This window comes from Homo sapiens, chromosome 8 (assembly GCF_000001405.40).
Source record: "Homo sapiens chromosome 8, GRCh38.p14 Primary Assembly".
NCBI lineage: Eukaryota > Metazoa > Chordata > Mammalia > Primates > Hominidae > Homo > Homo sapiens.
Window position 1 is genome coordinate 14108300 of NC_000008.11, and position 14179 is coordinate 14122478.

Consider the following 14179-nt stretch of genomic DNA (forward strand, 5'->3'; position numbering starts at 1 on the left):
TTTATGCATCAAATATTCTTCCAAAACAGAGAAAACTTAAAACAGGTACATATGATGTATTAGTCCGTTTTCACACTGCTGATAAAGACATATCCGAGACTGAGAAGAAAAAGAGGTTTAATTGCACTTACAGTTCCACATGGCTGGGGAGCCCTCAGAATCATGGCGGGAGGCAACAGGCACTTCATACATCGCGGTGGCAAGAGAAAAATGAGGAAGACGCAAAAGCAGAAACCCCTGATAATACCATCAGATCTCGTGAGACTTATTCACGACCGTGAGAACATTATGGGGGAAACCACCTCCATGGTTCAAATTATCTCCCACCAGGTCCCTCCCACAACACGTGGGCATTATAGGAGTACAATTCTAGATGAGATTTGAGAGAGGACACAGAGCCAAACCGTATCACAGGATATGAATGAGAAGAATTGGAAGAATATCACCAGGCAGGGAAGAGTCAATCAAGGTAAATCTAAATGTCATTATATTAACCAATTTTAAAATTAAATTATTTATAAAAGTCAAAAGTCAGTGAGTATTCCCACTCTCTCTTTAAAGAACAAAAGCTCATCTCTGTCCCCTGCCTTATTTTCCAGTTAAGTGAAATTGAGGGAGGGCTAAGTCACAATACTCAATTCTGTGTTTCTATAAATAATAGCAGGTCATGAATGAAAATGTGGAGGTGAGTTCCAGTGTAGCCTATTATTGGTTTTTTAAAGACAAACCCTCATAGATGTTTAGCAGTTCTCACACATAGAGCTCCCACCTTTGATTACAGTAACCACGAAAAGCTAGAGAACATGTCATGTTACTTTGACCTCTCTGGAGTTAGGGCTTAATCTAAAATCATGAACTGCTTTAAATTCTGGTGTTATAGTTGGTTTCATATGGAATTGTAGCTTTCCGAAGAGGTCATATACTCTAACACTTTTCTCAGGAGGTTGAAGGATACTCTATCTCAACTTTCATTTACTGAATCCATTTTTTTCCAGATTCTCATAGCTTTTTCATAATTTAACTGAGCAAAATGGAAGGATACTTCAATTACCAAAATCAAGTGGGAAAAAAATGTTCCAAATAAGATGACATTGAGAAAATCTTTTCTGTAATTTTGCATAAATGTCTTTATCACCCTCAAAATAAACTTGATGATTTTGTTTTCTGGTCTAATCTTCTTCAAAGTTCTTGCTTTAAGAACCTCATACCTGTTCCATCAGTGGCTTCAACACTAGATAAACTATACAATGTAATTTAAAAATATGTATTTGAAGCATACAAAACAAATCTGTTTTTGTCTAATGAGAAAAATCATGTAAAATATATTAATTCAAGAGGCAATGATGAAATTGCCACTAGGAAATTAAAGCTAAAATTCCAATTCCTTAAAACTAAATTGCTATATATGGAAATGTATTAGAAGCATCAGATGACTCCTTTGCATAATATAGCAATACAGACCTTGATCATGAATAGAACAGGAAGAGATTTTTTTTTCAAAGACTATATGATTTCATCTATATTATGCTGCTGAGGGCAAACTTACTTACCAGGTTCTGCTGCAGTAAATCCCTAAGATTACAGATTTCTGTTTATAAGCTAAAAGCTATTGGCATTTGTTGAACTCTTAATGGGCTTAATAGTGTTCTCTCTTCTCTCTCTCTCTGTCGCTCCTGAGACTCTGTAGGACATATGGTCCTTGTTTTTAAAACTTTTTTTCATGAATTTTGAGAAATTATTTAAGCGGTTTATTCTTTTGATATTTTGGAAGATATTTATTTTATTTCTACTAGTGGAACATTCCTCAAGGTGGGTCTTTAAAAGTAAAACAGTAGTTTGAGGTAACACTAATTTTGTGATTATAGTGGGGATAGCATTTGAAAGAATATTACAAGATATACATTTGTATATCTCAAAGAGAGACTCTGGCATTTTGTAATAAGATATGCATCCCAGAAAAGATAGTGAAAATTAATTTTTAAACTTTGCACATGGATAACTATTTCATGATTATGAAAATTTCCCAGATAAGGTGACAGAAATATAATTAAACATCGGTAATATTTACTTTCAAATACATAATGGCATACTTACTAAGCACAAACTCTATCAGTGAAAATAAAAATAACAGAATGTCATCAAAGTTTAAATTTTCAGTGAGAATTAAAAACTGATAGAGGTCTCAATTCTGAGTGCCAATATAAAAATAATCATTTTTAAAGGATTCTTGAAGAAATAAATATGTAATCATACCACGTAAAGGGCGAAATTTTAAACTAAATAATACGAGTGATTAACAAAATGCAGGCCTCTAGAAAATGAGAAATTCACTCTCCCTGTTTTTGTCCTGAATGAGCCAAAGGTACAAAATTAATAAGCAACACAGATAATCTTAAAGGAAATCAGTAAGGGATGATAAAAGCCACCTGAACCAGGTATGAAGTCTAACAGCATAAAAAAATTAAAAATCAGAAAATGCACAGTGGCTCGTGCCTGGAATCCCAGCACTTTAGGAGGACGAAGCAGGCAGATCACTTGAGGGCAGGAGTTCCAGATCAGCCTGTCCAACAGGGCAAAAATCCTCTCCTCTCTACTAAAAATACAAAAATTAGCTGGGCATGGTGGTGCACAGTAGTCCCAGCTGCTTGGGAGGCTGAGGCAGGAGAATAGTTTGAACCTGGGAGGCAAAGGTTGCAGTGAGCTGAGATTGCACCACTGCATTCTAGCCTGGGCAACAAACGGAGACTATATTAAAAATAATAACAACAACAACAACAACAAACTTTAAAAAAAAACTGTCTCTCTCAAGAATTGAAAATTTTTACCATGTAGATTACTAGTAGGGTTGTGAGATTTAGCAATTAATAATATATGACACTGAGCTCATTTGAATTTCAGATAAACATCAAATCATTTTTTAGTATAAGTATAGGATATTTACAGGGGATATACTTATACTGAAAGCATATCTTGAGTAATCAAGTAAATTCAAAATTAGTAAGACATCATATACTTGATCTGGAAACCCTAACAATTTGTCAACATTTGTTTGGTACATAAGGACAGATCTGACTTACTTATGCTCACTTAGAGAAAAGACAGACTGTCATGAATTCTCATATCACAGGCTCTAGAAACCATAGAAACAAAAAAGAAGGATAGACATAAAAAGGACAAAAGGAACACAACAGAGACACATATTAATATGTATATGTAAACTTATTGAATAAATGTTTGTTTTTCATTGCTATTTTAAGGGGCTGTTCAAAAGGGTACAATGTTCAACACTGCTTGATTATAAAATCCTACAAAGGATGTTTCAGATAATTTAAACTCACTACAATGTTACAAGACATAGGGAAAACCTATACTGTTGGCTACTGCAATTGTCAGAATAAAACTAAGAAAATTCAGGGTCCAAAAGTAGTAGAAACCATTCATATGATAATTTCTGGCTTCTGCAGGAAAGAATAAGGATGGCATATTCTGCTTTGCCGGAAAGGAGAAAAGGCAGATATGGATTATGGTCCTACTTTGTATTTAAAGACCGTTTAAGACATAAGCTAGGATACTACCCTTTACAAATGCCTAACATAAAATGCCACACGCTCAAAAACAAATTATTAAAATTAAATGTAAGCACCTCTTCTGATGTGGCTATCTATATTCTAAATGCTATCTATACTATAAATGTTATATCCTACGCTACTCATTATTCACCGATTGACATCCATGTATTTTTTACAGAAGTCACTGGTCCCAGAAGAAGAGGTAGCACAAGAAAAGGAAACCCAAGAAGCACCAGAGAGAAAGCAAACAACCAAGAAAGGCAAGAACACCTCACATTGAGAAAAAGAAAGTCAGGCAGGAAATTATATTTTTAAGTTATTTGACCTGATATGTGCCAAATGAGAACTTTTGCTGGCCTTTATTTTTCCAATAAAATCAACTATGATCATGAATTTTTTGAGTTTTTTTTTTTGTGGGGGGGGGGTGCAAAGAAGGGAATGGATTTTATGTAGATATCAACATGATGTGAAAGAGCAACTACAAGAGGAATCCAGAGTCCATGGGGCAAAGGTTAACAGGACATAAACAGCTAGCCTCCCAGCCCTATGGCACTTGACAGGTATCTTAGCTTTTCAGGTCCAGGGATATTTTTCTAGATCTCAAGGAACAGAAGATTCCTATTTATTTATGATCTTCAAATTTGAATCTGTGTTAGTAAATATATTCAAACTTTTTGGAAGTCTTCCTACCTTACTTTCTTTTTCTTTATTTGCTTCTGTTTCCCCCAAATCTAAATTGGTACTAAAATCTAGATTAAGCTGGGAATAGACTTGTCTTATTCCCAGGTTTACTTATAATTTGTTTTTAAATCTTGGCCAAGTATTTAAAGCCCTTTGGTTTTTATTTGTAAAATTAAAAACCAGATCATGAATAACATGATCTCTAAGGTACTTGCAATTTCTAACAGAATTATACGATTATTTTTTCAAACACGTCAAAACTTGTATACTAATAACTCTTCTCATTCCTCCTTAAATACTAGTGGAAATGAGTTTGCAACTCCAGATCAACAGAAAATAAATTATTTTGGGGAAAGGATGGAGTAACAATACTGGAAAAAAATATTAATTGGCATTTATTGTATTCCATTAAAAAGGATTGCTTTGAATACTGAAAAATTTATTACCTCTCGAAAGAAGAAATGTCAACCTATTTCAACATATACTACATCTCCTATTTGTGTTATTTTAATAATCTAAGTGGTGTTTTTGCCTCCACTTACCACCACAAAATACAACCTATACATTGCTGGAGTGATTTTATCAAAACCATTGATATCTCACCTGTGCAAAAAGCTATAATTATTTTCCTGGACACTGCTTTTGCCCAGCATTCAATACTCCTGTAATCTGAGCCCATTTGTGTGTTCAAACATCTTTTCTTCCACTTACGTATAAAATATCTTTACTAATTTTCCCACCTCTTAAGGCATATGCAGATTTCTTCATTCTCTGAACATATTTAGGGTTTACTGCCTGTAGTACTTGTCTTTAAACTACCATATCTATTCTTACATTTTATATTTTTAATTATAACAGTTGCTTACGTTTCAGGCCAAAAAAATTGAAGATACATTCCTTATATGCCATTGTATTCTTGCGCACCACATGATGGATGGGAGGTAATTAATAAATATTGATAAGGATCCAGATTTCCAGCCTTTTTTGAGTTTTCTCCTTTTGTTTTTTAATTCTAGTTTGATTAATGGTAAAACCATATTCCACACAACCAGGTGAACCCGGGAAGTATACTGAGATGTCCTTTCTTGTTCAACATCCTTATTAGCGTACTTGTTTCCACAGCTTCAATATCACATACATTTTCTGCTCATGATTCCTCCATACTGGTGCCAAATGATGTTCTAAAACACAAAATTGACTTTGTAACTCTCACTTAAAATATTTTAAGAACCCAGTGTCTGTAGAAGTCAAGCCCAGATTTCTTAGGATTTACTGCTTAGCAGTTGTGTGGATTTTACATTTCAGTGACAAGACAACTCATGAGAACCCCTTCTTGTTCTCAGCATATGCAACCTCTTTCTCCTCATTTGATGGTAATCTCTTCTCATTTTTCAAGATCTGAATCTAAATTATAGTATCTGTGAAACATTTTCTTGGTTCTTGCCGCTTGCTTCTCCTTCTGCCCAGTTGCCGCAGGTCCTTGTAAAAATTACTGGTATATATTTCTAACATTGCATTGCAATTTGCTTTAAGCTCTTATCCAGTAACTTACGACTTTCTTGAAGTCAAAGCCTGTCTCGATAACAGTTGTATACTTAGTACTGATCATGGATTCTGCTACATAGTTAAGGATCAGTAAATTAAAGAACATGAATAAAATAATTAACAAAAGCATGCATAAAATGCTTTCTATTTTATAATTGATAGGTAAAACATGCTAAGTTTCTGTTTCCTAGTGTATCTCCTTGTTTAACACTTTAACACAAATCAACATCCTGCGATGATTATCTGAATGTATTGAAACTGTTATTATGAGCATAGCCAAAGTGATTTTTTTCTAGTGAAACAGGGAAATAACATTATTAATTGTCTTGGGAGGAAAGCAAAAAAGAACACCATATTGTTCATTTAGGACTGAAAAATAAGCTGCCAGGATTTCTAAAAAGAAATTGTTTCAAAATCTGTTTGGACTTTTCATTTGGCATTTTTTTCATCATTTAAAAAAATATTTGAAAGCCTTTACTCTTGGATGCCAAATAATATCCTCTCATCCACTTAAACAGTGTCAGAAGACAAAAAGAGATAAGGAAAAAGACTGCTGGTGATCAAAAGGAAAATGCATTAAAATAAAGCTATTTTCTTCAAAATTAAGTACATTTCAGAAATAAGTTGTTTGTTACTAATGAAATTAGACTAAAATATATCAGCACTGGAAACGATCCAGACTTCCATATGGCTCTCATTTTGTAACCTTCAAGAAGTTATGTTTTACTAGCAGTTGTTTCTCTGAGTTTTAGGAGGAAAAGCTCTTCATTTATTATTTCTATTCCTTTTAGTCAACAATAAGAGTAATACTTGAAATTTAAAATCACATGTAAAGAAAACAGAATTAAAAAGAAAATAAATTATTTCCAAATTGAATGAATATGTGGTTTGATGGAAACGACATTTTTAAAAATTGTACATAAATAATCCATTTTCTAATTCCTACCTCCAAAAAAAATGAAAAAATTACAGTGGACGAGCAGAGCTTTCTTCGTTACTCTTACATCCAATAACTCTTGAGATATATATTCTCAGGAAATAGTTAATTCCAAAGTATGTGATTACTGAGGTTGTTGTTTTGCCCTTTACTTAAATAAAACCAGTAAGCAAATGAGAAGTAACATACACACCTGAGGCTTCTAGAGAATCCTGAGTGAGAAAGCATAATCAAGAATGCCCCTTTAGCAAACATAATCTCTATGGGTATGCACTTTTTAAAAGGCAGCAATATTTGATTCAATTTACAGCTTCATTATAAACATTATAATTTTAACGAGTTGAAATGCAAAAATATGCATTAACCTATTTGATAGCACATGAGCTACCCATACTGTCATTTATTACATTTTTAAAAATTTTATTAATGATTAATGATGAAACTGAGAAGATTAAGATTCCTAGGTAAATTATCTTTTTACCACCTTTACATAAAGTCTAGATAAGCTTTCAACGTACTTAATCCAGCAGTATATTTTGTCTTAAGATTTGGACATTTTACCTAAAATACAGATATGATAGCTGATACTAGTCTTGGCTCTTTGAACTCACACTTATTCTTATGAACGTAAATCTTTTTTAATTTTTTTTTGTATAACCCTTTCCTTGATAACCTCTATCATTAATCCAGTGAAATTCAAGCTTTGTGGAAATTCATTTATTTAGAAATCTCCCATCAGTTACACCATAAACTGAGGTTTCTTTGGGGGGTGGGGGTGGAAATTAGTAAATTCCTTAATCCTATCTTTTTTCCTTATTTTATTCTTCAAGCTCTTCACCACTATTTAGATTACTTTCTGAAGAGAAACAAAATGACTTCCTACTGCTAGTACTCATAAAGGGAGAAACTGTGTTTTCCACTGGCAGGTCATACCGACCATTACCAAATGGAATGCACAGCGCTAGAGATTCATCTCAGCAGCACTTTCATTGCTTAATTCTTTATTCCTTAGGACTTCTGGTACATTGATATCAAAGTGCTTTCTATGGAAAATAAAAATCAGTAAAGAAATTGTCTAAAACAGATGGTACATAATTGTCTTTGGGGGCTTCAAATATTGCATTGGTTTATAGATTTATCTGAAACTTCTACAAATATTTTTTACTCTGAAAAACAAAATATTGTATGTTCAAAAGATGCTAATTGTATCAATAGCTTTATGAGCCTGAGCTGCATAGTTAATCTACATAAACTGACATATGAAATTATTTTTTAACATAGTGTCTCATGAACCACAATTTATTTAGAATTTCCTTCTTACCTCAAGATATCTAAGAGACTTTAAAACATCAAAGTTTTACCTACAATTTTTTTGGGTCTCTCTGCCGATGAGAAAAGATTCAGAATCTTCGTACACACAGCTTGCCTTAATATGTAATTGTCATTCATTTACTAATAACCAGGTTTTACAAAAATTCACGTAAAAACTGAAAGCCTCATAAGCCTATCATCCAATAACAAGATAGTACGACATGCATAGAGTCCAAATGAGAATCAGAACATGTGTGTTAATGCCCAGATAAATTCTCTTCATCTTTTTTGTTTCTGTGAGATTATTTACCTTTTGTTGCTCAAGGTTGCTCCTTTGATTTTTATTTTATCACTTGCCATGTAATTCATGTATACCGATAGGTAAATTTTAGAAAGCTCCATTTACTTTCATTTGTTTTTTAACCATAAGAGGACTGGTAGCATTCTTTTTACTTTTAACTAAAGAAATGGCACGTTTCTCCAGAACCAATGTCTGGTTTCCTTAATAATGAAGTTTCTACAGCAAGAACACTCATCACATGCTCAGCGTTGATTACTGTGAACACTGTATATTTTTCTTAGAGGAATTTCAAGCAGAGTAAGCCATTACTGCTTTTTGCAATTTATAACGATTAAAATTATCCATAGTTTACAGGGAAGTCCAAGCATCTTCAAAATTATTGGGCTATTATGGTAACCTGTGTTTTAAAGGTTGCCATAATATCTTTAAAGATGGCATGTATCTTTAAAGATGGTCGTCCTATGACCTACAAAATGTATCTTTAAAGATGTATCTTTAAAGGTGTTTGTCCTCTGACCTACAAAAATAATGCATTAGAGATGAGCATTAGACCTGCTGATATAAATGGGCCTCTTCTGATAAGTCAGAGGTAAAATACACAACTTTTATAATCCAGATATGTGCTTTTACATTTTGGGAATCCCTTGATCCACTTAGCAAATATCTCACCATGAACAGGGTAAACAGATATTCAATATTTTCAATAGGTAGTGTTTTTTTTTTTTTTTGAGAAAGCTTAAATTGTGACACTGAGATGCACACATCTGTGTGTGTGTGTGTGTGTGTGTGTGTGTGTGTGAATGCAGAGTATAGCATCTCACTGGGGAGTACTTGACCCGTGTGTGTGTGTGTGTATGTGTACTGACACATTTACAAAATAAAATTCCAATCTTGTAAATACCTTTCCAGAGAATTGAAAAAAAAGCTGATGCCCTAATATATGAAGTTTTTATTATCATACTTTAAGTTCTGGAGTACCTGTGCAGAATGTGCAGGTTTGTTACATAGGTATACGTGTGCCATAGTGGTTTGCTGCACCCATCAACCCATCATCTACATTAGGTATTTCTCCTAATGTTATCCCTCCCTTAGTCCCACATCCCCTAATAGGCCCCAGTGTGTGATGTTCCTCTCCCTGTGTCCATGTGTTCTCATTGTTCAATTCCCACTTATGAGTGAGAACATGCAGTTTTTGATTTTCTCTTCTTGTGTTCGTTTGCTGAGAATGATGTTATCTAGCTTCATCCATGTCCCTGCAAAGGACATGAACTCATCCTTTTTATGGTTGCTTAGTATTCCATGGTTTATATGTGCCACATTTTCTTTATGCAGTCTATCATTGATTGACATTTGGGTTGGTTCCAAGTCTTTGCTATTGTGAACAATGCTGCAATAAACATAGCTGTGCATGTGTCTTTATAGTAGAATGATTTATAATCCTCTAGGTATATAACCAGTAATGGGATTTCTAGGTCAAATGGTATTTCTAGTTCTAGATCCTTGAGGAATCGCCACATTGTCTTCCACAATGGTTGAACTAATTTGCACTCCTACCAACAGTGTAAAAGTGTTCCTATTTCTCCACATTCTCTCCAGCATCTGTTGTTTCCTGACTTTTTAATGATCGCCATTCTAACTGGATTGAGGTGGTTTTGATTTGCATTTCTCTAATGACCAGTGATGGTGAGGTGTTTTTCATAATTGTTGGCCACATAAATGTCTTCTTTTGAGAAGTGTCTGTTCATATCCTTCACCCACTTTTTGATGGGGTTGTTTTTTTCTTGTAAATTTAAGTTCTTTGTAGATTCTGGATATTAGCCCTTTGTCAGATAAAGAGATTGCAAAAACTTTCTCCCATTCTGTAGGTTGCCTGTTCACTCTGATGATAGTTTCTTTTGCTATGCAGAAGCTCTTTAGTTTAATTAGATCCCATTTGTCTATTTTGGCTTTTGTTGCCATTGCTTTTGGTGTTTTAGTCATGAGGTCTTTGCCCACACCTATGTCCTGAGTGGTATTGCCTAGGTTTTCTTCCAGGGTTTTTATGGTTTTAGGTGTTACATTTAGGTCTGTAATCCATCTTGAGTTAATTTTTGTATAAGGTGCTAGGAAAGGGTCCAGTGTCAGTTTTCTGCATATGGCTAGCCAGTTTTCCCAACAGCATTTATTAAATAGGGAATCCTTTTCCAATTGCTTGTTTTTGTCAGATTTGTCAAAGATCAGATGGTTGTGGATGTGTGGTGTTATTTCCGAAGTTTCTGTTCCGTTGCATTGGTCTACATATCTGTTTTGGCACCAGTACCATGCTGTTTTGATTACTGTAGCCTTGTATTATAGTTTGAAGTCTGGTAGCATGATCCCTCCAGCTTTGTTCTTTTTACTTAGGATTGTCTTGGCTACGTGGGCTCTTTTTTGGTTCCATATGAAATTTACAGTTGTTTTTTCTAATTCTGTGAAGAAAGTCATTGGTACCTTGATGGGGATAGCATTGAATCTATAAATTACTTTGGGCACTATGGACATTTTTATGATACTGATTCTTCTTATCCATGAGCATGGTATGTTTTTCCATTTGTTTGTGGCCCCTCTTATTTCCTTGAGCAGTGGTGTGTAATTCTCCTCGAAGAAGTCCTTCACATCCCCTGTAAGTTGTATTCCTAGGTATTTTATTATCTTTATAGCAATTGTGAATGGGAGTTGACTCATGATTTGGCTCTCTGTTTGTCTATTATTGGTGTTAGGAATGCTTGTGATTTTTGCACATAGATTTTGTATCCTGAGAGTTTCCTGATTTTGCTTATGAGCTTAAGGAGATTTTGGGCTCAGACAGTGGGGTTTTCTAAATATACAATCATGACATCTGCAAACAGAGACAATTTCACTTTCTTTCTATTTAAATACACATTCTTTCTTTCTTGTGTTCTGATTATCCAGGCCAGAACTTCCAATACTATGTTGAATAGGAGTGGTGAGAGAGGTTAACTTTGTCTTATGCCAGTTTTTGAAGGGAATGCTGCTTTCAGCTTTTGGCCATTCAGTATGATATTAGCTGTGGGTTTGTCATAAATAGCTCTTATTATTTTGAGATACATTCCATCAATATCTAGTTTGTTGAGAGTTTTTAGCATGAAGTGGTGTTGAATTTTATCAAAGGCCTTTTCTGAATCTATTTAGATAATCGTGTGGTTTTTGTGATTGGTTCTGTTTATATGATGGATTACATTTATTGATTTCCGTATGTTGAACCAGCCTTGCATCCCAGGGATGAAGCCCACTTGATTGTGGTGGATAAACTTTTTGATGTGCTGCTAGATTCAGTTTGGTAGTATTTTTTTGAGGATTTTTGCATCGATGCTCATCAGGGATACTGGCCTGAAATTTTCTTTTTCTGTGTGTGTCTCTGCCAGGTTTGGTATCAGAATTACACAAGAAAGAAAATTTAAAGGCTCACATTTATTCCTAGGGATAGATACCAAATTTCTAAAAAAGGTATTATCATATGGAAACCAGCAATAAAGAATTATCAGGACCATTCCTTTAACATCTATCACTGGAATATAAGTTTGGTTTAATGGCAGACAATTAATAAAATTCACCATAGTAATTGACTGATGGAGAACAATATAGAAAGATATTAGAAGATAGAGAAAATTCATTCAAAAAGTTCATCATGATTAACCACAATAATTGTCACTGTTTAGGAAATGAGAACAGAAGTAAATTTCTCCACCTGAAGTTGTCAGGTACAACATAACCTCTATCAACATCAAACTTATTGGTGACATGCTGAAACATTTCATTTAGGAACAGGGATATTTCACTTAAGAACATTACACAAAAGTACAATGTGGTTTTATATTTGGCTAGAATCACCACTTTAATTCAACTCTATACTATATATAGTTCTTGTCTTACTAAGGAAAAATATAGATCTATAATATGTATATTGTTTTGAGGAAAAAATAAAACTAACATGGTTCACATAAAATATGGTTTTCTATAGAAAAAAAATCCAAAAGAATCTACAGAAAATTAAATACAATTAGAAAACAAATTTGACTTGAGAAAAATGTAATGCATGTTCTGTGAGACTGCTACTGCTATGGAATGAATTATTAAATTTAATCAAAAGGCATTAAAGAGATGTTAATTATAATGAGAAGTATAACATAACCATATGTAAGATTATCCTATCCTAAAGTTAATAATTTTACCAAAAACTTTGAATAAATTTAATGCAATCTTAATCAGATCATCAATGATAGTTTCATGGAACTGGACAAGCTGATTCTAAATCTCTATAGAAGAATATCAGGAATAATAAGGCAATCTGAACCTCCTCCACAAAAAATTTAAGTAGGCAGATTTTCCTGTCCAGATAACAAGTATTATTATAAAATTCTAATTTTACTAAGTCAATGTGACTGTGAAATAGAGAAATAGCCTAACGGCTAAGAGAGTCCCCAGAAACAGAGCAATAGATATCCTTCTCACGGAAACTCAACTTAATGGCAAAGTCAATGTTGAATATTGAACATAAAATTTAGTATTAACATATATTCAACATTCAATTAAATTACATTAAATATATTCAACTATATTATATTCAGTATTGAATATATAATATTAAATATTAGAAAAATCAACATGTCACGCTGTCATAGCTGAGATAAAATGTTATTCACTACTATTCTCCACTTTAGGCTCATAGCAAATTGATGCCGTTATAAGGGTGTTTAAAAAGTGACTAATTTTGTGAAACTTATAAAAACAATATTTGCACTGAAATAGAAAATAATGCTCTTTTTTAAAGTACCCGTTTAATTAATTGTTTTTAAAAAATATGTGATATCTTACCACACTTCCATGCTTCTTTCAAATTATACAGGGTTTTTTTGGTATTGCCGTTATTATTGTTGTTAAACTGACTAAAATCATACATGAAATAATAGAAATCAGGCCTAACATCAGATAGACTTTTCCATTCAGTTAAGTTATTGTGTAGCAAAATTTATTTTGTCAGTTCACTACACAGTGTGACAGTATATAGTTTCTCTAATAGAGTAACATTAAAGAGGACATATAATATAACCAAAAATTTGAGTTCCAGATAAGTTTGGTGTCTCACTAGCAAGATGACGTTAAATAACTCATTTAATTTTTTTGAAATCTTAATTTTCTGTTCTGTAAAATAAAAAGCAATCTGTCTCTTGTCCAAAAGACTATGTAGGTTTTTTAAAAATTTTTTATTATGTCATATACATGTGCATACATTGATACATAAATAGCCCTACAATGTATACCTCACAGTTGCTTAGCATTATGATGTCTGAGGTCAGTTAGAAGACTTTAAGGAGGCCGGGTGCTGTAGCTCACGCCTGTAATCCCAGCACTTTGGGAGGCCGAGGCGGGCAGATCCCAAGGTCAGGAGATCGAGACCATCCTGCTAACATGGTGAAACCCGGTCTCTACTAAAAATACAAAAAAATAGCCGCGCATGGCGGCAGGCGCCTGTAGTCCCAGCTACTCGGGAGGCTGAGGCAGGAGAATGGCGTGAACCCGGGAGGTGGAGCTTGCAGTTAGCTGAGATTGCGCCACTGCACTCGGCAGCCTGGGAGACAGAGCAAGACTCAGTCTCCAAAAACAAAACAAAACAAAAGACTTTAAGGAGCTATGGTGATTCAGAGATAGGAACATTCTCATTCACTGCCCATGAGAGGGCAAAATAACAAAAACATTCTGGGGTCCTTTCCCTTTGAACAAATAATTCAATTTCAAGGAATTTATCCCAAAGAGTTCTTTATGTGCACAGAGATGTAGCTACAAGGATGTTAAGAA

General features: G+C 33.9%; 1 protein-coding gene and 1 long non-coding RNA gene across 5 annotated transcripts in view, besides 2 other annotated features; one reads left to right on the plus strand and one right to left on the minus strand.

Moving 5' to 3' along the window:
* The window catches only part of SGCZ (sarcoglycan zeta), a 1153587-nt gene that overhangs the window by 23455 nt on the left and 1115953 nt on the right, over positions 1-14179 (minus strand). The gene's annotated exons all lie outside the window — the stretch shown is intronic.
* Positions 377-3962, plus strand: LOC124902058 (uncharacterized). The gene is made up of 2 exons (XR_007061171.1): positions 377-469; positions 3748-3962. It is a non-coding gene; the product is annotated as an uncharacterized LOC124902058 (long non-coding RNA).
* Positions 2025-2194: an enhancer, noted in NCBI's record as "experimental_101701 CRE fragment used in MPRA reporter constructs". NCBI's record gives its function as "activates a minimal promoter by MPRAs in K562 erythroleukemia cells, with activity observed for the introgressed 8:13967918 variant allele {active_cell/tissue: K562}" and the evidence as "EXISTENCE:reporter gene assay evidence [ECO:0000049][PMID:34662402]".
* Positions 13951-14120: an enhancer, noted in NCBI's record as "experimental_101766 CRE fragment used in MPRA reporter constructs". NCBI's record gives its function as "activates a minimal promoter by MPRAs in K562 erythroleukemia cells, with activity observed for both the introgressed and non-introgressed 8:13979844 variant alleles {active_cell/tissue: K562}" and the evidence as "EXISTENCE:reporter gene assay evidence [ECO:0000049][PMID:34662402]".